Source organism: Homo sapiens, chromosome 4 (genome assembly GCF_000001405.40).
Source record: "Homo sapiens chromosome 4, GRCh38.p14 Primary Assembly".
Classification (NCBI taxonomy): Eukaryota; Metazoa; Chordata; class Mammalia; order Primates; family Hominidae; genus Homo; species Homo sapiens.
In genome coordinates this window covers 74,277,293-74,303,251 of record NC_000004.12, presented here as the reverse complement: position 1 = coordinate 74,303,251, position 25,959 = coordinate 74,277,293, and the positions used below count along the sequence as shown (strand labels likewise).

At 36.0% G+C, this 25,959-nt stretch overlaps 1 protein-coding gene and 1 long non-coding RNA gene across 15 annotated transcripts in view; one reads left to right on the top strand and one right to left on the bottom strand.

Moving 5' to 3' along the window:
- Positions 1-24,958, top strand: part of LOC105377276 (uncharacterized) — an 87,048-nt gene extending 62,090 nt beyond the window's left edge. For both annotated transcript variants that reach the window (NR_188415.1, NR_188416.1), the window contains one exon: positions 24,474-24,958. This is a non-coding gene — a long non-coding RNA (uncharacterized LOC105377276). The remainder of the gene's footprint in view (positions 1-24,473) is intronic.
- The window catches only part of MTHFD2L (methylenetetrahydrofolate dehydrogenase (NADP+ dependent) 2 like), a 188,540-nt gene continuing 162,733 nt past the window's right edge, over positions 153-25,959 (bottom strand). For 5 of the 13 annotated variants that reach the window (XM_047415712.1, XM_047415713.1, XM_047415714.1 and 2 more), the window contains 3 exons: positions 21,702-21,827; positions 9,690-9,763; positions 153-1,555 (listed from right to left, as the gene is read on the bottom strand). In XM_047415712.1, the coding sequence (XP_047271668.1) occupies positions 1,499-1,555; positions 9,690-9,763; positions 21,702-21,827 (257 nt within the window). In that variant the 3' untranslated portion in view covers positions 153-1,498. Of the gene's footprint in view, positions 1,556-9,689; positions 9,764-21,701; positions 21,828-25,959 lie in introns of those variants that run through there. The other 8 variants (NR_147097.2, XM_047415715.1, NM_001351314.2 and 5 more) reach the window with 3 other exon arrangements.

Genomic DNA, 25,959 nt, shown 5'->3' with positions numbered 1-25,959 from the left:
CCATCAGGGTTATCAGACAACAATTGATCTGAACTGACTGTGGAATATGCTATATAAACTTTTCTTTCACATTTTAGAAACTTGTACATTTCTCCAGGATGTAGTAAGGAAATGGGTAAGAAATTTATATCTACAGAAAAAAAGAATACAGCTTTTCTTCAAATTGCTTTTATTATACAGTTGTAATGGTATTAATTATAAACATCAAGTCTATTTTCACACAAATCGTCACGAGTACACACTGATAAAGACATGCGCTGGGTAAGAGTCATTATTGGTACATAAACATACTGGGATTTGGGCATAAAAACACAGTATCAATTAATAGCTTTAGCAGTCTCAAAATAGACTTCAACGACATTCATATATATTTCCTAATTTAAATTGTGTTAGAAACATTGCATCTACTTTGAGGAACAAATTCTGTAACAGAAGAGGGAAGACAGGTAGGCAAGAAGGCAGGAGATTTTTAGTTGTATACTAAGGTTTAGTTTTGGCACATTGAAAGTATCATGTTTTCCTATTAGATTTCTGAATTTGTGAACAAACATTAACAGTTGCTGTTCTTTAATATGACCTCATTCATACTATATTTGTGGGAAAATACAACTTTAGTTTTTTCTGTTTACTTATTTTTTTATTTTTCCACTATTGCTCAGTGAAGGTACTAACCAAATATTTTTTAGAAGAAAGAAACGACGTTTAAACCTAACACATTCTTCATGTATTTTTACTGTGGCAAGTAGTCATTCACAATGTGATATAATCATTACTCTTAGTAGTCATTCACCATGTGATAAAATCATTACACTTCCAAACAGCACTGCATTTTTTGCCTTCCCGGAATATTTTCCTTTCCTTAAATAGAACATCATTTCTCATTAGGATGGACTTATAGGATGCATTTGGGGGATAGTTGAGATCAAGATTTTATTTTCAATAATAATATTTTCAATATTTTCAATATTTCAATATTTTTCTTGTAGTAAGCAAGCTCTTTTTTAATATATGACATAGATCATAAAATACATTAAAAATGTTAGCATGCAAGTAGCAAAACCTAAATTACATTTTATATGGGTAACCATTTGGCTGACAGGATATTTGTTGTAAACATACTCTATGTAATATTTAATTGTGTCAAAAATATATTTATTTATTATGAGCCCTTTATTGTTTTAATGTTATGAACAAATACCCTCAAAATAAACAATTGTTACTAAAATTTTCATTGGAATTGTTTTGGTTGTTTTCTTAAAACTCAAAATAAATTAGCAGGAAATGCATAAAACTATGTGAATCAATTGATTCACAATGATTTCACCCATGAAAAAATAAATACCATGTAGAAATAAATAGCTTTGTAGTAAAATATAAAGGTTTTACCCTTTGTCAAATAAACAAATAGCATGACTTCAGTTTGCTTTATCCTTTCATGTGATCTAGTAAATGATTTTTTTAGCTGCCAGAAGGGTGTTCTTCAGAAGCATTGCCACTGTCATGGGTCCCACACCTCCTGGAACTGGAGTGATAAAGCCAGCTTTCTTTTTAACAGCTGATGAGGAAAAAAAACAAACAGATATTCTTTATTTTAAAATATCTGAGATTTTAATATTTTTAAACATGCTGAATATAGTGATTCTTCATTATATATACAAATCATTTTTAGAATCAAGTAGGCTGTAATAAACAGACACACACACACACACACACACACACGCTCACACTCACTTAGACGAATACTTCTGTGGATGATATCTAAGGTGGACAGAAAGACCAAAATGGACCGACACCTAGGTTCAAGCTCCATGCAGCTCAGTTTGTTTTACATAATGAAACCCATGATTGACCCAGTTACCTGTAATTCTAGTTAACTAATTCTAAAATACATGATACTGGTCACAAAAGGGACACAGGGACATAGAATATAGAAAGTTGAGCACATACCATTTATTAAATAGAATTATTCCTGTTATAACAATATCACAATGTATGTGTGGATAATACATTTCAATTCAAGTCTAGTAAGTATCACTAAATATACTTGAATTATGAACACATACATAGTCCTGTTCAGAGGTATGGGAACTTATTCAGTGAATACAGATGGTCCCCAGCTTGCAATGGTTTCACTTATAATTTTTTGATTTTTCAACTGTGTAAAAGCCATACAGATTCAGTGGGAACTATACTTCAAATTTTGAATTGTGACCTTTCTCCCAGCTAGTGATATGTGATACGATACTTCTCAAGATGCTGAGTAGTGGTAATAAGCCAAAGCTCCCAGTCAGCCATGAGATCACAAAGGTGAACAACCATGATCAACCAATACTCTACAATGTACTGCATTATGAGATTATTTGTCCAAATATAGGCTAATGTAAGTGTTCTGAGCATGTTTATGGTAGCCTAGACTAAGGTATGATCTTTGGTGTATTAAATGCATTTCTGACCTAATGATATTTTCAACTTAGGATTACCGGGATGTAACCCCATCATAAGTCATGGAGAATCTGTATACTTAAAGAAAATGGCAGATAACTCTCAGCAAGTTTTATTTAAGAATGTTTTCACACCCACAGTATGAAAGGTGAATGACTTACTGCATTCATTTACTTGATGGTATGGTGGTTTACTGTGTGAATAAGAGCAATGAAGTTTTTCCAAATAACTTTTAGTAAAAAGTTAGCATAGACAATATTTCTTTAATGCATAATCTGACATTATTAACCACATGCTATTTAGATGTATTGCCTTTTACAATTAGCTCATATAGACTTCTGCATGAATCAAAATAAATAGATGTTGTCTATATCTTTAGTATTATTTTTGCACAACTTATGTCGCCCTTTTGAAGGATGATTTGTGGGATTTACCTTTACTTTATTTGAAGTGAATAGTACATTGGAATAATTTTTTAAATCTGAGGAAAAGCAAAGGAATAACATTGTTTTACTTGAAGAAAGGTCCAGTAAGCTTAAATACATCACAAAATATATATAGTTAACATGTGTTATGAATTTTCTGATGGGATGCTATAAAGAAAATATAAGAATACTATGATTTGGAAGGTAATATTTCAGTTTTCCAAACAGCGTCTCTATACAGAAAGCACAACCTTTCCATTGCCACATTTCCATCTAATGCATTCTATTCTATAGAAACATTAGAATGGGTCAATAGCCATTCAATAAACAGCTATGAATTTTTAGTCCTTTCTTCCTTTGCTCTAACTGTTCCTTCTACCTGGATCATTATTCCATCTTATCCAAACAAGAAACTCATTATTTCCTGAAAGCCAATGAAATGTCACCTGTCTACAATTTTTCTGAAAAACTCATTCCTCCAGTGTTGAATTGAAAGCCCCACCATCTATATTTCCAATAATTTTATACCTACCTCCATTATGGAACTTAAGACACTGTGCACTGTCTGTTCCCTTAACTAGACATCAGCATCTAGAAGGCAGAAGCCAAGTCATTGTGGTGGTTGTTTTTAATCTTAGAATATCTCCATACACAGGTTAGGCACTAAGCAGATTTTGAGAAAGTGAACTTAAATTGCCCTTACTTAAAATCTAAAATCAATTTGCAGAAATGTGTCAGTGCTTTTCACTGGATGTAAACAATATCAATTTAGTTTAAGCTAATTTACTGAAAAACTTGAGCTACTCATTTTGCTTTAGGGTGATAAACTGCATTTTCCACTTTTCAATAAGCTGACTTAATGGCCTGAGAAATGCCTTCCAGGACCTTTTCTCAAGCACTGGAGAAGCAATGCGTTTAAAACTTGGCAGGTCTTTAGAAGTAACATTTATGCTACTGCTACTGCTACTGCTACTGCTACTGCTGCTGCTGCTGCTGCTACTACTACTTACAGTACTACTACTATTTACACTACTACTACCATTTATACTAATAGAACACAAAGTCATATATTTGTAAAGCACTAACTTTGAAATATTAATATATAAAAATAAAATTCTGCTAAATAATATGGGAAAGTAAAAATCAAGTGCAAATTGAATCTTCAATGGAAAACAAAATGATTTATTTCAAAATTTAAAAGTGGCATACAATTTGTTATATCAGAAAACCTATTGTGGGTATAAAATTATTTTTATATAGTTTGGTTTCTAACTTTGAAAGGTAAAGCAGCTTTGATATTATTTGTCTATGAAAAAAATAGTAAAAACCATAGCTACTATCAATTGAGTACTTATTAATTACTTGCCAAGAATTATGCTGTTTTAATAATTAATATTTAATTATTTCATTTTAATAGATGAGGAAACTGTGGCTCAGTGAAGTTACAGTGACTTATCACTCTCCTATATGTACAGACATTATTCACAGCCAGGTTTGAAATGCTCTATAATCCCATAATTTCACCCCATTCCAATGCAACTGTATTATCATGACCTAAACGAGTAGAAAAGTCCAAAGAATGGCTCAAGTGCCAAAAATTAACTCAGTTTTCTCAAAGTGTTAGCAGGATATTCTGGAAAAAAGAAATGAAGAGGAAAAGATTCTAATATATTAATTTTCCAACATTTTGACTATAAGTTCTCATAGCTCATCATCTCTGAACTACATATTACACTTCAAATTACACAGCTGGCTTAGCAGTCTGAGTTGCTTTATTCCTGGTGTCAGATCAGATAAACCACTGGTATGCTCAGGTATCATTATCTTCCTCTTCCAAATTATGTTTTTCAGACAACATGCTTACTATTGCATTCTTTTGCTCAAAAAGTGAGGTTTGGGTGGAGGAGGAGGGAATGGGAATGAGATACTACATGAAATAATATCCGCCGGAAATTTTTTAGCTCAGTGTCTGCATTTTTGCATACTTCGCTGGTGGAAACCAACACATATTCACCCTGTCCTGCCTATCAGTTTTCATAGAATCAGGCTATGTAAGGGGTAATAGGTCTTCACCTGATCTGGGCTAGGGCTTCTCTGAACATTAATAAACATTTAGTAGCATCAATAGAGATCTGAAAATTATTCACGAGGCAGAAGATTATAATATCATTGTAAACACACCTGGTTATTAAAATACTTGCTTAAATCTTTTTTGTTTTTGAAATAAAGTATATGGATATGAAGATAAACCCTGTATATGGTCATGAGAGACAGAGTGATTAATTTGACTTTGGAAAACACATATTAGGTTTCTATTCCTTTTGATTTGATTTTCATGAGTATCTGTGTCTGAGAAGGAAATAATAAGCTTATCTGCTGCTGGCTAGTGTTAATATATTCTTTGCCCATTTACGTAAGGATCAGGATACAGAAGTAAGTGATCTCTCAAGAAAGGTGGGGAGCTATTGGCAAGTGCCAGTGGATACAGATGTCAATGCTTAACAAAAATTCTCTACTCTAATGATTTTGCATAACTATTTCAGGGCGATCTTAAGCAACACATTTATGAAATACTGCAGGTGGCTTATGTGCTAAAATTAGTCATGTGAGAAAGAGTTAAATTCTATTCATGTTTGATGTTCTGAAAAGCATCTTCCCCAATCATGCCTGAAAGAGAGCAAGGTAACAAGCATTACATCACCAGAATAACCTCTCATTGGCTAGTCTTTCCCTGAGGGCAGACAAAGGTTTGCACTTGGCTGAAGATGATGCTTTTAAATATTAATCCTATTATGTGTAGGGAAAAGGTGTTCTACATGCTCCATTAAAGAGAAATACAGAAGCATTATATGATAGTAATTTCCTTCAGCGACTTAATTTACTGTGGGTGTAGGTGTGAGGGCATATTTGTGTCTGTTTAAGGGAATACCAGAAGTTTGGTATATATGGGAATGAGGTATGAGATCTTGATTGATATCAGCCCTTTCATATGAGATTAATGAAGACACATGGCAAAACCAGGGTTAGATTCAATTTCACAAAGTCAACATGATTTTAGACCTACTGAAACTATTTGACAATTGAGACAAATAAACAATCACCAAATCTTATTGTCCGCATTAAACTTGCTCTGGAGAATGAGACTTAGATGAAGATGACATGGAAATGTTTAAAGTAAGTTCCTGAAAATAAGAATGTTTTGAGGAAAGTTAATAATTATCATAATAATTTATTTGGATGACCTCTCTGCAAACTTTAGACTCTGCAAAGTAATTCCATATATTTCCTTGAAAGTGCTATAGCTTTGCCAGCATAATTAAGAATGTTAGGGTGTGTGTTCAGTTGTACAAAAATAAAAGAGATTTAAAAACAGTCATTTTGGATGTAAGATTTGCCTTTGTACATACTATTCTCTTTGTCTAACGTGCCCTTCTCTCACTTCTCCAGCTGATGAATATTTATTCTTCCTTCTCAGGTCCAGCATAAATGTCACTTTCTTTGTGGAGCCTGTTAACTCCCCAGGCTAAGTTAACTGTTCATTCATTCATCAGTGAGACTTAGTAGAGTGACTTTCAATTTGCATTCATAGAGCATAGTGGAATCTCTTGTGAGATTAAGTCATACTGCATATGCCTCCTCCTATCCCAATATTGCACATTGTCAATACGCACCACTGAGAACTAATGTTTGAAGTGAGAGATATTTCTAACGGTGGGAAAGGAATGTTATACATATAAACGGAATGGAGAAAATTTAAAATCTGGTTGGAATTCACTGCTGTAGTATGGCTACTTTACACGATGGCCTCAGGTTCCCAGGCAAGTACCAGGCAAACCCCAATGTGCAAACGGTTTTCACACTTCTGCTTACATAAGAGTTGCTAATGTGCCATTGACCAAAGGAAGGCACACGATCAAGTTGAAATTCAAAGACTTGGAGTAACAAGAGTGGCCAAGTCACCCTGCAAAGGGGATGTACACATGGGGACAAAATAAATGTGTGGCCATTTTTTATAATCTACTACAGTAGCCTCTTGGCTCCCAGTCCACCATGTCAGCCATATAATTTGCTGCCAGAGTTATTCTTTAAAACACAGATTTGATTATCTCAGCTTATAAACATTTGATGGATCTTCATTGTCTCTAGGATAAAATATAAATTCTTTGTTATGGCAATCAAGGTCTTTTATCTTCTGGCCCAACATCTTTATTTTGCATCATGTTCTAGCCCTATATTCAATTAGTCACTGTTCCCACACATGCCATAAACTGGACCAGATAGATTCGTAACAATTATTCCTTGAGCAAGACAGACATAGATACTGCCTCATGGAGCTTTTAGTCTAGTTGGGAAGATGGACATTAAAAAGGCAATTGCCTAAATAATAATTGAGCCACGGCAGTGATATGTGCTACACATGAAATTTGTGCTGCACTGTGAAGGTGTCAAGAGGATCTGGGCCTGAACAGCACTGTGTATTAATGTGGCATATCCATGCCGAGTTTTTCCATGTGGAATAGAGAGGTGTAGAATAGACAGTGTAGGGGAGACAATGTGATAAAGGTGGCAAGAAGCTTCCCTCAGGTAGAAAGCAGCCTGAACTCTTGGAAACACTGTAAGAAGGCCAGTATGGCTGAGATGCAGGAGTAAAGACAGAGTTGAAGGAGGTGACATGGAAGAGGTAGGCAGTGTCTGGTTATGTAGAGGCTCATAGAAAATATCAAGTATTTTGTATATTAATTTAAAAGAAATGATTAAAGTATTTTTAACATTTGGGAAAACATTTCAGGCAGCATAAAATCAAATGAAGAAACTGTTCTGTGTTTGCACATTTCTCTAATGAAGTGAGTTTAATATCTGGGGTGAAAGGAAAGGAAATAAACACAAAAATTACAAAGTAAATTGAGATTCACTAAGGTGGGAATGAATTCAGGCACTTATGGGAGTACCTCAAGAGAAAACATAAATCCGATATGGGGATCAGAGAAAGATTTGTAAAGCTGCAGAAAAGCTGCAAGATTGATGGACACCTGAGCAGGGAAGAAAGGGAAAGAGAAAGCAATGCAGACACAGGGAAGAGTAAAAGCAAAGGTGGGTTGGATCTGACAATAAATTTAATATAATGGAGGAGGTGAAATGACTTCATTATGACCAAAGCACATGATGAAAACAGCGAGAAGAAAGAGAGGAGGCCGGGGAGGTGATCATGGGCTATATGGGGTCAAGAAACTGAGGTTGGGTGATGGTAGCTGTAGTTACTGTGTTCAGGGTGAATAAGCTTTTAAAAGAGTCTTTCATGAATAAACTTGGCTATTTACATATTTAGGAGTGATCATTTTTGTAATATGAAAAACTTGTGAGAAAAATGTATACTACTAAATAATTTTAGAAGAAAGTAGTGAAGGAGAAATTCATCTTGCATTTTCATGAAGTTTCAGGCTATTGCATCCCAGTAAATCATTACTCAAGAAATTCTTTTTCAGCCTGCCATGCATGTCTAATCTTCCGTGTTCTCTCTTCTCCCCTATGTGGCTGATGACTTTCCCCCCTATGTTATTGGCTTCAGATTTCTAAAAGGAAGAACTAAAACTTGGCTTGGCATCATTTACTTGATTCTAACTTGAAGACAACCATCTTTCAATGTCAGTATAAGAACAATAGGTACAGTGCAGAGGTTCTTTCATATTTAAAATTTGAGGTGATGATAGAGATGATGGAAGAAACTAATCATCCAGTTTATATGGACGCCTCCAAAAAAATCCAAGGGTGGCATAGATGACAGGGTGCATAAATTGTACTCATGAAGGATACCAATAGCAACATAAAGGACACTAAAATGCCCTTTAAAAACTTAAGTAAGAATAAAACAGAAAGTACGTGGTCATGAATCTTCTGGCACCATCAATCCATCCTTCATGACAGGGTGTCTCCAGCTGGTGTGTTCTGTCATTGCTTCATTTGGAAACTTTATGTTCCCAGGTTCCCAGGGCCAAGAATTGAACAATTCAGATTCTTATTTAAGATACTTTGTTGGAATACTCTCTAATTCCTTGGCAAATAGTAAATTTCTACTTCAGTACATTATATATACTCCAAAGGTCCCAAATAATGGCATTTCCAGATGTATCTAAGCAGAATTAATTTTGCTAGTATATTTTGGAAATTGTATATTCTGGCAAAGTTAAAGAATATATTTGTTCTCTATAAATTTATTTTTGGAGTGGAGAAAGAAGAACTGATGTCTCACGTTCCTATAGTATTGTGTTGTCTTTCTATTTTGTCTGTTTCACTGTCTCTTTTAAAGAAGTACTCTATGGCCCATGTCAGTTCTCCACAATGCTATAATTATTTTTTAAAGTCAACTCCCTCCCCCAAAAAGAAGAAGGATGATTCCTTATCTGTGGCAAGGCAGCAGAACAAAAATTTCTTGCTTCTCTCATGTGAATTTCATCCTCCTGGTATACATATGTAATTGTCTAAATTAAATGCTTGAAGTATTTTCCCATGCTTCTAAATGCAAGCCACTTAAGCGTGGCCTCTCAAACATCCACTCTAATGAAGGGGAGACAAGCTTCAGGAAAATGAAGTACAGGAATAACAACCAGAAAAACCTGAATGACATAGGACTGTAGAAATAGTATGACTCAGGAGATAATACAGAAAACACTCCACTTTCTCATATGGTTGATAGAAAAATGACACTTAAGAGCATGGTGAACCAGGGAGCAGAGGGCTCCTTAACAAGTTAGTAGCTTGCCATTGAACTTGGAAGGCAACCAGGAATCAAGTGCTCCGGAGGGAATTTACTATATTTCTTCTTACATTCATCTGGTTGCTGAATCTTGAGGTTTCCACAAGTTTTCTAAATATATTGAGATGTTCATTATCGTGGCATCCTGTGGTCAGTAATGAAATAGAGAGGATTATTGTCCTAATGTGGTAGAAATGTATTTACTTTGCAATTTGTATTTGTAGGGTGGCTAAGTTTTATTTTCCTTTACATTAAATTAAATCTGTATATATCTGGTCATCTGTATTATAGATGTAAACCATCATTCTCAGCAAACTAACACAAGAACAGAAAACCAAACACTGCATGCTCTCACTTATAAGTGGGAGTTGAACAATGAGAACACATGGACACAGGGAGGGGAACATCACACACTGGGGCCTGTCGGGGGTGGAGGGCAAGGGAAGGAATAGCATTAGGAGAAATACTTAATGTAGACAATGGGTTGATGGGTGCAGCCAACCACCATGACACTTGTATACCTATGTAACAAACCTGGACGTTCTGCACATGTACCCTAGAGCTTAAAGTATAATAATTTAAAAACCTATTCAAAAAACCATAAAAAACAAAATAAATACCACTCATACCACTTAGAAAAAAATACCACTCATACCACTTAGAAGACAATTAGTGGAACCAAATAGCATGTCAGTCACCTGGAGAAAGTTTGAGATTGCTTTCTGAAACCTGCACATTGTGCACATGTACCCTAAAACTTAAAGTATAATAATAATAAAATAAAATAAAAAAGATATTTCTACTAAAAAAAAATTGCTTTCTGTGAACTCCAGCTATGACCTATCAGTGAAACCTTCTTTCTGACCATGGATGCTGTCAGCTGTCATTGCCAGATTCCATTTCAGTAGGCAGGAGTAACAATACTGCTATGATATTTCTGGTAGTTCTATTAAGAGCTGGGAAAATTACTAAAAATATCTCCCTTTCATCATGTCTTTAAAAATACAAGATCATCATACACTCTTGTCATTGTCTCCAATCCTTTCCCTCCCCCACCCAATCCCTTTTGCCTGAAGTCACTGAATATTTGTATCAGAGTGGCAAATCTGTAAACTAGATAAAGCTTTCTGGAGTACTCTCCAAATCTCTTGGCAGGGCCTTAATCTCTGTAGTCTGAGATAGGAGCAGATAAAATCTCCCTTCCATAGGTATTTGTGTTTTAATATGGATCACTGAGAAACAACTATAAAAAAAAACTCATCACAGTTCAAGCAAAGAAAAACTTGCAGAAGCATTAGTCACTTCTCTTGTTCCTGTGAATGTATTTTTTGTTTCAACTTTAACTCTGCTCTATAAAGGTAGATGATCCAATGTCAAAGACATCTACTAAATAGAAGTCTCTAGAAGTTGATTTGATTTCAAAGGCCTAGACTTCACAGTAACCATTCTGTCCATGTTGTAAGCCACAATGGAGGCAGTTGACTTACTAATGATAGGAATCTCATAGTGACCATCAGTGGTTCTACCTGTTTCGTGAAATGCTCAGTGTGGGTTCTGTGATCACAGCGTTAATAACAGTCTCACAGAGGGGCTTTTATAATGTTCATCAACTTTTCTAAAGGATTGGAACAAGTTACCTCTGGGTTAAAGTATAAGATCTTCTCTTATAGTAAAAGCTGGAGCTTTGAACTACTTTATAATTATCTAATGCAAAATGTAGATATTTTGAGTCAGACTGATTAGCCATATCATCAAATTAAATGATTGACACTGAAAACTGAAGTGGTTGGGAGTCACTTTAATTTGATTCTTTGTAATCACAGATTAATAATAGTTTTGTAAAAATGATACAGTTAAAAACCATCCCTGTTTACTTAGAAACTGATTATATACACTTACTTTCCCATGTTGTAGAACACACACTTGGGAGTAAGCAGTGCCAAACTACTTTCCAAATAAGCTTACTTTGCATAATCTGGAAAACATAAATTCCAGGCACTTTATTTATCATGTGCACAGATATACCCAGGACCTCAAATAGTGCCTAGTATGAAGCAGCACTCACAAAATATGTGCTGAGTAAATAAACGAAGAATCAATGGATGTATCATTAATGAATATGTGTTGTTGAATTAATGACATAGTTGCTATTACTCTGCATGAAAGCTTTTGTTCCCATTAAGTTAACTTGAGGGGAGTATTTCTGTAATGTAAGAATGATACCACTGGTTTTTAAATACAGAGAATGTTCATACAAATAAACAGTGGTCTGAATAAGAAGGCTGAAATTTGGTGTGGGACAGAGATATAAAAGAAATGGGCCAGGCACGAAGGCTCATGCCTGTAATCCCAGCACTTTGGGAGGCCGAGCTGGGCAAATCACGAGGTCAGGAGATCAAGACCATCCTGGTCAACATGGTGAAACCCTATCTCTACTAAAAATGCAAAAATTACCTGGGTGTGGCACGTGCGTCTGTAGTCCCAGCTACTCAGAAGGCTGAGGCAGGAGAATTGCTTGAACCCAGGAGGTGGAGGCTGCAGTGAGCCAAGATCGCACCACTGCACTCCAGCCTGGGCAACAGAGCAAGACTCCATCTCAAAAAAAAAAAAAAAAAAAAAAAAAAAAAAAAGAAAAGGAAAAATAAATGTAAGACAGGAAGCTAATCTTACAGAGGCATCCAATCTAGTTAGGAACAACTAAGTAAAAGTGCAACGCAGTATAGCATTAAGAGCAAAATGAGTAAGGCAAATTAAACCTGTAAGGAGAGTCAGGAGAAGATGGGAATAAGCATGAGTGCTTTAAAGTTGATTCATATGAGAGTTGGGCAAAGAGAACAGACTACACTGGAAGAGAGTTTAGGCCAGAAAAGTAATGAGGAGGATGGTGGTAACTGAAGCGTGAAGTTGTATACTTCTGGGTTAATACTTTCGTGGGAATGGAGAGAAAACGTGAGCAATGTACCCTCGCGCGTACACACACACACACACACACAGTCTTTCACCAGGCATTATGCTTGGCAATTCACCTACATTAACTAGCTTATGTAAGGTGATTATTTCATTTAATCTTCACAACAACTTTATAAGATGGAAATTATTATCACAATCTTTCAGATGATATAATTGAGTCTCAGAGTGGTGAAATGATTTACTTAAGATCATAATTGTTTTAAGCAGTAGAGTTGGGATTCAAACCCAAGTTAGCTTGACTCCAAAGCATAGTCTTTTATGAAAGGTTGGACATAATACAAAAAGAGCAGGGAGTGAAAGATGAATCCAAACTTTCAAATACAAAGCATTAAAAGAAAACATAGAAAGCTGCTTACAAAGCACTCCAGGGGTTTTCACCTCATCTCTAGTAGTTTCTTAGGATAATGATACTGAGCTTCTATGTAATTCCAAACCCTTTCCTGACCTTATGCTTGACTATTGGGTTGGAATTTTGAGGAATGGTTTCGCCAGATGGAGTCTCAAATTAAAAGGTCCCTTTATAGGGGAGATTTCCTGCCTGGTGGAGATTCTTTTGAAAAATTCAAAATAAGGCACCAGATATTTGGGGAAAATTCACAATTGTATACAATATCATACTTCCTTCTTTCAACAGCCCATGTTGGGTCTGCTATTGAGTGCATAAAACCTTTTGTAATGTTGCCTCCTTTCCTTTGATTCTTTGTTCCCTCTACCAGGAAAGAGCCCCTTCCTCTCTTTTGCCCATTATCTACCCTAAATACACATACTTGAGTAAAATTCATTGAACCTTTAAGATTCATCTCAAGAGGATTCCAGAACTGGCACCTCCACTCTTGCTTATTCCAAAATCCTTTGAGTCACACTTGATTGATTCTTCTCTTTCCCTCATATCTACTTGTTTAACCAATCATTCCAACTCTCCTTTAAAATTATATCTACCATCTAACCACCTCTTAACATCTTCACCCATTACAACCTGGTCCACGCCCCATCAGTTCTTACTTGGATAATTACAATAGCCTCTTAACAGGTATCCCTATTTACACCTTTACCTCTATACGGCCTATGTGTCATTCAGTAGCCAGAGTGACACTGTTAAAATACAAGTCAAATGTGATTTCTTTGCCCCACATCCTCCAATGGATTTCCACTGCGTTAGAGTATAATCCAAATATCCTTCCTTGGTCTATAAGATGGGATTGCTGCTACCTCTTTGACTTTATTCTCTATCACTCACTTCCTTACTTACTGTTTCAGTTACAATGGCCCCCTTGCAGCTCATAAAAACCGCCAGCCAGGCCCCCCTCAAGGTCTTGCATTTGCTGCTCCACTTGCCTGGAATGCTGCTCCCTCATCTGTCCACGACTCCCTTCTTCATTTATTCAGGTTAGCATAAGCCTTCCCTGACCACCTTTTCTAAGAAACTCCATGCCACCATTCTCTAGCCCTCTTATCTTGTTTTATTTTTGTATCACTAAGACACTGCCTTGTTATATAGATATGTATTTGTTTATTATCTGTCTCCTATAACCAAAATGGAAGCTACTGGTGAGTAAGTACTTTGTCTTTTTAGGTCACTGTTGTATCCCAAGTGACTATAAAAATGCCTGACACATAGCAGATGCTCAATAGCATTGAACAACTAAATGAATGAACCTAATTTGAAGAATCTGAAGGGCTACACTAAAAACAGTAATAATCAAGAGACTGAAAATAAGCCAGTGAAGATAGAGATATAAAAAATGAAAGTCACAAAAGGGACCTGACACAATTTTCAAAATTGTATAACATGGTCAAAAAGTATCAAATCTATATCAATGATTGAATAATAAACAGTTTAGTTAGAATTAAAGACATTTAGGTGAGGTTGTATTACCTGCACAAATGTTATTGCAAATCTGTGTATCTAAGATCCATGGAAAGCTCAGGGTAAGATCTGAGCCAAGATATGTCTTCAGTGACACTAGGATTTCACCAAAACCTCAGAAAAAAGTTAGTAAGTGGAGCATGCTTTGAAACCAATTAGAAAGCAATCAGACAATGACGAGATTGTCCCCTGAGGTTTTTCAGAACAAAATGAATTCTGGATAGGTAAGCTGAATGATATGTGGATGTTAGATAAATAAATATCTTTCTTTTCTACCCTAAGTAAGAGATTAGTCTTCAAGTTCTTATGTAAAGGGTAGATTATTATTTACCAAAGTGTAGCCTCCCATTCAGAGACTATGGATTCCACATCCCTTGTACTCCACACATGACTATATTCAGGTCAGTAGAAAGCTAGCAGATGTGATGCATGCACCTTCTAGTTCAATTTTATTAAAGATGGATTTTATTGTTCTGGGCTCTCTCTTTCACTTTTCCTTAGAAGAGAACATAAATGAGGAGGCAATTCAACTTCAACCATGTGGATAAGGACAACACTCAGGTGGAACGGTGTTATGGGATGAATTGTGTCCCCTCTAAATTCAGATGTTGAAGTCTTAACCCCAGTACCTCAGAATGACTGTTTCAGGAGACAAAGTCTTTAAAAATAAAATTAAGTTAAAATGAGGTTATTAGCATAGGGTCTAATCCAACCTTCTAAGAAGAGGAAATTTGGACATGGACACATACAGAGGTAAGACAATGAGAAGACACAGGGAGAAAATGGCCATCTACCTGGCAAGGTTGACTCAGCAGAAACATCCTTATCAATCCCCTGATCCTGGACTTCCAGCCTCCAGAATTGTAAGAAGTAAATTTCTGTTTAAACCATTCTGTCTGTGGTACTTTGTTATGGCATTTCTGGAAAACTAATATAAACAGTGGGATAGGAGAAAACAGTATCCCTGAATGAAGCATAGCTGCCTAACTCCATTGACTGTCTCCCTAATTCCAGACTTTTATGGGAAAGAGCCAAATTATCTTATTTTTTGAGACAGAGTCTCACTGTGTCGCCTAGGCTAGAGTGCAGTGGCACGATCTCGGCTCACTGCAACCTCTGCCTCCCAGGTTCAAGCAATTCTCCTTCATCAGCCTCCTGAGTAGCTGGGATTACAGGAGTGCACCACCACACCTAGCGAATTTTTGTATTTTTAGTAGAGACGGGGTTTCACCACATTGGCCAGACTGGTCCTGAACTCCTGACCTCAAGTGATCCACACTCCTCGGTCTCCCAACATGCTGGGATTACAGGTGTGAGCCACCATGCCTGGCTAGCCAAATTATCTTGAGTCATTGCATTTTGGTTCCCCTTTGTTATAGTCCTTCACCTATACTCAAGTATAATACTTAAAAGGAAAAAATGGAAACAACCTAAGAGTTTCACAATAGAAAAAGGATGAACCAAATAATGATACATGCACTGAACATAACCACAAACCAGAATTTCAGCATGGCAAATCAGTAAAACAAGTTTAAGTGCATAAGTCACATATATTCCTCAAACTATATAGTTGATGCATACATAAAATATCTGGAAGCAACTCTAGTACAAAATACAATGATAATGTCAGTTGCGCTAGAGGAGTAGACATTCTTTTCCATAAAGTGTGACTTCTTTATTTTTTGTAATTTAAACCAGTTTCATCAACAATATAATGTACCTTTACATTAGACTTATCACCTTTACAAAGACTTACCACTTTAAATTTTACTATCCAATTATGTTAAGACAGTAGAGAGAGGAAAGTCACTCTTAAACATTAACCTCATTTATTTTTACTTTAACAAAAATGCCTACACATCATTTCTCTTTCCTGTCTCTTTCATTTCTTTACAACACCAATTCTTTCCTGTCTGTTTCATTCCTTGTTTTAGTATAAACCAATAAGTGGAAAGGCATTGTCAGAGTTGGAATACAGGGAGGAGAGATGGCAGGCAACAGGGAATAGACACTCCAGTTCTTATTCCACCTCAATCCCTGCAGGAAGCATCATAAAATTGAAGCAAAGCTACTAAAGCTTCAAAAGGGTAGAGAAATGTCTTTGCGTTAGCTATGAGAAGTAAATGAGGCCCAAGAATTCACCCATAAGAGCATGGTTAATTGAATTAACAGCATGGAAGTCATTAATTAGACTGTTTAGCTGATCAAATCCATTTGATGAATTAAGAACGGTATAATTAAGAGTTTTTGAGTCTAGGACTACATACTGTTTTCCAATGTGTTATTTACAAGAAGCTATTTACTACTCATGGCACATAATCTCATTTCTATCTTTTGAGAATAAAGCCTTCTTTGTCAGAAATGTATGAAGTTTCTTTCTAAGCTACAATAGAAAATGGTTTAAAAAAATTGCCTGTGAAAGTAGGTATACCTAAGTGTAAAAAAGTAATAATCTATATAGCAAACATAAACTTATAAATGAATAATTATTTGCTGCATGATTATTAGTAATGAAAAATAATTCTTAGACATGCAAAATAATGTTATCACAGATGGTTTTAAATACTGTTTCTTCTTTTAATGACATAAGTTAGGAGGGAGGAAGTATGTTCAAGTAATAGAAGAGGAATGTTAAGCATTTGTCAGAAGCTGGACATATTGATGAACTGTCAAGTTCTGTAACTGGAAATCAATACAAAACAAAATAGCACTTCAATTTAGTAATAACTTTAAGGTCCTATTTATTTCCCAAAACATCCAGAGAGGCATGGCATTGCAGGAAAGGCCTAACTTCAATGTATGTTGAGGAAAAGAACATAATGGTTGGCAAGGTGCTTAGCAAACATTACCTTCCACAGTGAACAACCTACCTAGACAGTAATAGTAACAGTGAGAAACTGTAACCAAACAACTGAATAATCATGTAGAAGTGATTATGGCATTGGATATGAATTTGAACTATATGATCACTAATTTCATGAGATTTAATTAGACACAGAGAAAAATACAAGCAGTGCTCAGTTTTCACAGTAGTGTAAGACCACAAAGATGACTGTTGAAACAGTGCAAAGCAATTTTAGTAGTCAATGGGAGAAATTATATTTGTTTAGTGACCTTTAAAAATTTTTTGTCAAAACATTAAAAGTTCTCTTACTGTGGTCTATAAATGTATAGGGGATTAAAAATAGTAGTAAAATTAATATTACTGATAATAGTAAAACAAATATTACTATTTACTAGTAGTAAAATTAATAGTAAAACTACTACTAACTACTAGCAAAATTAAACTAATATTTAAAAAAACGAATGCAATTTAAAATTTTGGAAACATTGAGAACTGAAGTGTTTTATTTCTCTGTAAACATTTTGCAAAGAATAGTTTGAATGGTGCTTGCCTTCTTTTGGTCATACAACTGATGATTAGGAGCAAACATCTTTTTTTAAGTCTTTTTTTAAATTATACTTTAAGTTTTAGGGTACATGTGCTCAACGTGCAGTCTTGTTACATATGTATACATGTGCCATGTGGGTGTGCTGCACCCATTAACTCGTCATTTACAGTAGGTATATCTCGTAATGCTATCCCTCCCCCATCCCCCTCACCCCACAACAGGCCCCGGTGTGTGATGTTTCCCTTCCTGTGTCCAAGTGTTCTCATTGTTCAGTTCCCACCTATGAATGAGAACATGCAGTGTTTGGTTTTTTGTCCTTGCGATAGTTTGCTGAGAATGATGGTTTCCAGATTCATCCATGTCCCTACAAAGGACATGAAGTCATCCTTTTTTATGGCTGCATAGTATTCAATGGTGTATATGTGCCACATTTTCTTAATCCAGTCTAACATTGATGGACATTTGGGTTGGTTCCAAGTCTTTGCTATTGTGAATAGTACTGAAATAAACATACGTGTGCATGTGTCTTTATAGCAGCATGATTTATAGTCCTTTGGGTATATACCCAGCAATGGCATGGCTGGGTCAATTGGTATTTCTAGTTCTAGATCCCTGAGGAATCGCCACACTGACTTCCACAATGGTTGAACTAGTTTACAGTCCCACCGTGTAAAAGTGTTCCTATTTCTCCATATCCTCTCCAGCACCTGTTGTTTCCTGATTTTTAGAGCTTCTGCACAGCAAAAGAAACTCCCATCAGAGTGAACAGGCAATGTACAGAATGGGAGAAAATTTTTGCATCTACTTATATGATAAAGGGCTAATATCCAGAATCTACAAAGAACTCAAACAAATTTACAAGAAAAAAAAAAACAAACAACCCCATCAACAAGTGGGCGAAGGATATTAACGGACACTTCTCAAAAGAAGACATTTATGCAGCCAAAAGACACATGAATAAATGCTCATCATCACTGGCCATCAGAGAAATGCAAATCAAAACCACAATGAGATACCATCTCACACCAGTTAGAAGGAGCAAGCATCTTTTCTATGCCTTGGTGAACTGGCAGATTCCTTTCTAAGTATGAATCAGCTTCCAACATTTTATCCTTTGCCCTTTCAATGGCATGAAATATCACTGCAGATTCCTTTAATGTGAAGTTTTTTACATCCTCTGGGACATTGTCATCCTTTCTGTCACAGCCATTTTGTTTATTTATGTGGATAAATCATTCCCATCAATGTTACCTACTTTTAACGGGGTCATCCAGTTTTCTTTACTAATGAAACAAAGATTTCTGCAAGGACGATTTACTTCAACGATTGATTTTATCTACATCTGTTTTGTTTATCTTGGCTATAGTTATAGTGAAACTTTTCACCGATACTCACAAAGCAGCCACCACACTTTCCCTGTGGCAATTTGAAGCCAAATGTTACTTATGAGTTTTGTGGCATAACCCATCTTAAAATTCCTCCCTCTCAGTTGGGGGATCATCCTTCACCTCAGGTTAAGTCCTGATGAACAACTTGAAGAGCAACATGTCAAAACCTATCACTTGCCTGCTCCTGTGGGTGGCTGAGTCATGGCCTCACTGGCAAAGCCTTCTTTACCAAGTCCAGGTCCTCATTAGTACTCTTGCTCCATGAATCAGCAGGCTGGCAAGCTAGATACAACTAATCATATGGGTGTCTTTTATGAGAGGATTAGAAAAGCTCGACCTTCCAGGTGAAAGTTTCTGTGCTTTTACACGATCATTTGGTAATGCTCTGTTGGATGTCCAAGATATGCCAAACAGTAGAGCTGAATGGAGCCACTAATATAATTGCTATCATTTAACTGATATCACTGACAGCTAGTGAGGTGGCAAAACTATAGGGCAACAGGCTAGGTCTCCCAGCCCTGTTCATCTCATATCTTTGTCTCTTTTCCATCTCCTTTTAAAATTTTTATATATACTTAGATACACAGAACTACAATTTGATTTAATAATCATTAACAAGTTAGACTTCATGTGACATGAAGTGAGTATATGTGCTACTAAGCATATACACCCACCAAAAATGCTCATGTAAAAATTGCTTTCAGAATACTTTTTACTTTCAGTAAAAAACATTCTTACTTAAAAAAGAAGAAAGCATGGAAGTGACATGAGACCAAAAAAATACTCTATGAGAGAAGAGTCTTGTAAAATGTGCTGGACTGAACTGCTGGGTAAGCTTGCCTTACAGGCAGTCAAGGCTGTGAACTGCAAACATCCCTGCTTTTCTTGCCTCAAGCTGGTTATCTCATGTTGTCAGTGCCATCTGGGTGCATCACAAATGTGGTAATTTTGCAATGAATGCATAACTATAATGTTATCAAGAAACAGAATGACAGTAAAGAAAATAAATAAGCCAGGTTTTAAAATAAAATGCACTTTACTCTTTCAAGTTGAGAAATTCAAATAAGTTACTCATATCTGGCCTAAGTGATTGAACATGGAAGATTAAATAAATAAATGAGGTCATTCCCTAGTGATTTCAGCATGTACACAACACACACACAGACATATGTATATACGTACAGATAGACATGTTCATGTCAAGAGCCAGCCTTGCTAGAATAGAGTTCCAACCATGTCAGAGACCCTGTGTATTAGAGCCAATGAGGGCAGCAGTGTTTTCTTTGGTACGGTACATCTGTACTTTGCTCTTATTTACACCATTTTGTCTCTAGAACGCATTGTTGCACATATGTGTCCTTACAGTTTTCTTTTTCTTTTAGGCTCAAATGGCTTACTTGGATCTGGTCCCTGATGTATCTTAGAATCTCACATATATAGGGCCAGTACCCTAGGACACTTCTAACTATCTGCATTTTCTATTTTATTCAACAATATGCTAGAACTTGGGTAAACCATCACCTGATGACCAGGTTCTAAGTGAAAAAACAAAATCTAAATTATTTTTAAAATGGCATCACCTATTCTTTTCAGTTTCTCTGTAAGAAGGACACACCTATAACTAACAAAGTTCTTGATGTGGCACTGTATTTTTTGGCCAGAATAATCACTCTTATACAAAAAATATTTCTAACATAAAAATGTCACCACTTAACTTTACTATATTCATGCCTTCATAGACATCTAAGACTCCTAGGCACACTGAAAATCTGAATGCAGGTAAATATATGACAAAGATAACGGAAGTAAAATCAGATTAGAGGGTCAGGCATCTAGAAGTACTGGGGCCCAGTTTCCCCTATTGTAAAGAGAAGACTGGGTTAGAATTTTTTTTTTACTACTACATATTTGTTGCCTTGTATCTTTCATCGACCACAAAAACTTTAGCTTAGTTCCTTTTCTTTATTCTCTCTAAAACACAAGTGAAAAACACTGACTTCAACTATCTAGATAACTACCTAGATCTGAAATGTAGTTAGGGTTGGCAGACACACCCTAAGGTGCCTTCTGGCTCTAAGAGTGAATGGCTGAGCATAGAGCATATTTGACTAAGCGTAGAGTAAGATGTCAACTCCCAAAATTCAAAACTATGCCCAGGTCTATAAAAGGCCAGCTGTATTCTATCAATAAAAACTGTACTATAAGAAATTTGATCCCTAAACCAAATATTAATGATACAATTAGAAGAGAGGGAGAAAAGGAAGAAAGGAAGGATGAAAGGGAGGGAAAGAGAGAGGAAGGGAGAAAGTAAATATTTAAGTCTGATTAAAATCTTTTCCCTCAGAAGAAAGAGGTGATGATTAATAAGTTAATAATTCCTCCATAAATGAAACTTCTCTATTTTTAAAATACGTAAGGTGGAATTTTTTTATCTTCTTCACCTATCAAAAGATATTGGTTTATTACCTTCGAAGTCCACATCTCCAACTAATTTTGTCTTTCCTGTCACTGGATCGTGGACATAGTTGATACCCACATCAATTACAGCAGCACCTTCTTTAACCATATCAGACGTAATCAACTTTGGAATACCTGAAAACAAAAAGAGTTGTTTGTCCTTCAGCATAACAAAGGTGTACATATCTGTTTTGGTAGGCTTTAAAAATACACACACACACACACACACACACACGTATGTGTAATACATTGTTCCTTAAAAAACAGGCCATTGATGATTTCTGATCCGAGAGAATAACAAAGATGATTAAGGCAGCACATCAGGACTTCTGAGGATGAAATCCTGCAGGAGCTAGCCTCTCACTTCAGAGATGGCTCACCTGACATCACAGGGATACCTGCTTGAGCAGCATCCTTTTGTATGTCACATACTATGAATGGCATGGGGAGACTGCGGACATGAGACAGGCTCCTGCTGAGGTGTGGTGGAGTGGAGCACAGTGAAAGCAACTTGGAAATCGGAAGGAGGGAAAGAAAAAAGGGAGGAAGGGAGGGAGGAAGGGAGAGAGATAGAAAGGAAGGGAGGGGGAAAGAAAGAATGAAGATAATAATAATTCATATTCCCCAGGGTTGTCATAAACAGTAAAGTGCCATACTCATAATGGCATCTCATCAACTCCAAATGTGCAGTGCTAAGTGCTACCTTGAGCTTTCTTTTTATTTTTTCTTGGTTTCTTTGAATCACGATGTCCGTATATGATTCTGAAAGGTGTCATGTATAGTAAGCTCTCCTCACTATTGGTCTTATGCAACATTATACAGAGATCTTATGCAACCATCTATTTCCTGCAATTATTTTCAAATTTTGTTTCAAATACAACAGTACCAGCTAACAATGGTTAATGTTCCAGTTTTTTAAAAAAAAAAAACATTGAACAATCCAATCACAAATTTAATAGATTAAAGCAACAATTTATTATTATGTCTTATGGTTCTGTGGGTTGACTGAGTTCATCTGGATGCATCTGGCTTAGGATCTTTCATGTAATTGGAGTCAGATAGTGTCTGAAGCTAGAGTCATCTAAAGACATGACCAGGCTAAAAGGACTCACTCACATGGTTGCAGTGGATGCTTGTGATTGGCTGGGAGCATAGCTAAGGCTGTCAACTGGAACACATATGCATGAACTCTTCATGGGGCTTGGTTTCTCACAGCTTGGCAGCTGGCTTCCAAGAGTGAGTGTTCCAGGAGACAAGAAGTATTAGTTACCAGCCTCTTAATGCTTGGACTGGGAAACCAGCATAATGTCACTTCTGTCATATACTATTGGTCAAGAAGTAACACAGTCCACTCAGATCACGAGGAGGAACAGAGACTCCACTTCTCAATGGGAGGAGAATCAAAGACTCTGTGATCATCTTTATTATTCTATCACAATGCTTCTAGTGGACATGGTGTCGGTAGGTGATGTTCTCACATTCGTATTCTAGATCTCTTGCAGGAAAAGCCTATCCACTGCATTGTTAGAGACATTCTAGCACCTGTACTATCCATTTAAGCATTACGGGTGGCTTAAATGTCACCTTGTAACATGATTTTTACTGCTAGCAAGAGTTTAAAGGCTATAAACAAATGGTCAGTGTCAACATAGATATAGCTGTAGGATAGCTTCCTTAGTCTCATAATGATGTAACAGAAGAGTCACCAATGTTTGAGATATATTTTTCCCTTGCTTTCCTATCCTGTGATATAGAACTTATCTTTTTTATTGGTTCTGACATAGGTACTATGCATTGCTCCAGATAGTCATAAAATCCTGTTTCTTCTTGGCATCCAATAGAAAAAGAAGACATACATTGAGTATAGCTGCAGAAAAAAGTTCAAGATAAAAATATTCATAAAATAGTTATTACAGTCCAGCTACTATGCTAATGGCAAAGATCCCAATCTCCCTCTGATTATTATAACATCTCAGAGAATATTAAATGGCAATGAACAAATGGCAAAATTTTCAAAATAGAGGAAAGTGTGAGCTTGATTTTAATTCCCAGGAAAATTACAAAATGGAAAAAAACTTTAAATATTTGTCTGTTTTGGATAATGACGCTTTATATATCCACTGTAGAAAATTTGGAAAATATATAAAAATTTAACATGAAAATAAAAATCACTGTTATCTTACTATCCAAAGAAAATAAGTATTAGTATTTTTAGTGTATTTCTTTCTCGGATTTCAAAATATTTATATATTAAATATAAAATATGAAACCTGTATTTCCTTAATGTTGTGTCTCACTATGTATCTTACCACTCTGTCATTAAATTAAAATGTGAGCATTTTCCCATTTCATTTGAAAATTAGGAGCCATATGAACTAATTAATTGTATGGATTACCATAAAAATGTATTCATTCCTGCAGTGTTTCTAATATTTTGCTATTATAAATAATACAGTGATGGTCATTTGTGTTCAGAAAACGATAGGTAATTTCTTAATTACAGCATCAAATTTTAGAAAACTTTTCACTGAACTGTTATGAATGGAAAAATGTAGGTTAGATGAAAGCATCTATTGGTAGAGTCATAGGTAGCTAAATAACATATTAGAAAACTGTCGACCAATGCATTTGTAAGGTCTATTGAGGTCTTCTGTGAAAAGCATTTGTCAATACCATGTTCAAATTTTTAATGAATAATTTGGAAGGACACATTGGCATTGTGATGGTTTTATCTTTGTTCTCCTCCAGATGCATTTTCACCTTTTTTCTGCTTTACTCTAGGCCAGCGGTGGGACTGATCCTTACAAAGGTCTTGTGTGCTTCTTATCTCTCTTGGAACCACGTCATGGCCATGAAAACAAGCTCAAGCTAGCCTACTGAAGGATACAAGAACCATAGAGGAAAGCTGAGTCACTTTAGCTGAGGCCATAATAGACTGATCAGCCCCCTGCCAACAACCAGTGATGGCAGATGCTTGATCGGGCCCCAGAAAGTTCATCAGAAATGAGTGAGTCAAGGTCACAATAACTGATCAGCTGAACCATGGACTCAGGAAAAATTTTTTTTAAAGGTAGTTGTTTGTTTTGTTTTTTAACATACCAGTAGCTACATAGCCCATATTGCAAATGACATCAAATTGGACAGAATGGTTACTGGGTTGTAATTTTGGAATGACGGATTCTAAGTATCAAGAAGAATCTGAATGGGAACAAATGTATAATTCTCATGAAGTGCTGTACTTGATTAAAAACTCAATACAAAACTAAGATGGTCTCCAGATACAAGGATGTAATATTTTCCAATATATTTTTAGCAAACTCTCTGGAATAGTTGGTTGTACTTCGGAGGCTGGTCTAGGGAAGAATGGTTAGAATCAGTCTAGAAATCATGTCAAATTCTTATCACTTGCTATCAAACTAGCTGGTTCAATTCCTTATTAGTGATCTGCAATAAGATAAAATCTTGTGCTACAACATAAAGCAACTATCTCAATAAACACAGTTTAATTCAGCTAACTTTATTTTTTTTTGTAGCAAGAATTTTTCAGTGAAATAAGTGGTGTGTTGATTTATAGTTTGGTGCAAGCTCCCTATCTTCTTGCAGACCTATAACATATGTGCAGAGGGTAAGAAATAGTCACAGACCATCACCAGTGCACTGACCACACAGTGAAACCCTCTGCACTAGAGGAATGGTTAAATGAACCTAGGCTACCTATCTCAGAAACAAACAAACAAACAAACAAACAAACAAATGCATACACCTAAAAACAAAACGAGAAAACCCCAATAACTATAGTAGTTTCTTCAATATGTTAAACTGCAAATCAGGAAGATTTTACTCTATATGGTTTTGGAGAGAAGAAAGGAAAAAACACAAAGGGAGGGAGTATCTTTTAGCTCAGTATAAAGAATATTCTAAGGATAATATAATATACCACAAAGAGAAACTGTATATTGTCCTTATTCCTTATTAGCAATATTCAAAATAAAGAAGGGATTGAACTGGGAAGGTTAGTTGTAGGAGGACAAATCCCCAGATGACCTTGGCTGCCCCAGCTCTTTCCCCTGCCACTTAACAGTGACTTTCTCTTTATCCCATTGTAGTTCTAGAATGGGGCATCCTAGTAACTACAATGGGGCATCTTGAGATAAAGAGAAAGTGTTGGGTACAACCTAGGCTATGTCCTCCTCCCTCTTAGAACGGGATGTTCCTCAGTGCTTCAGCTCAGCAATTCAAGTGGTATCTAGGGTGTATTGAGTTCCCT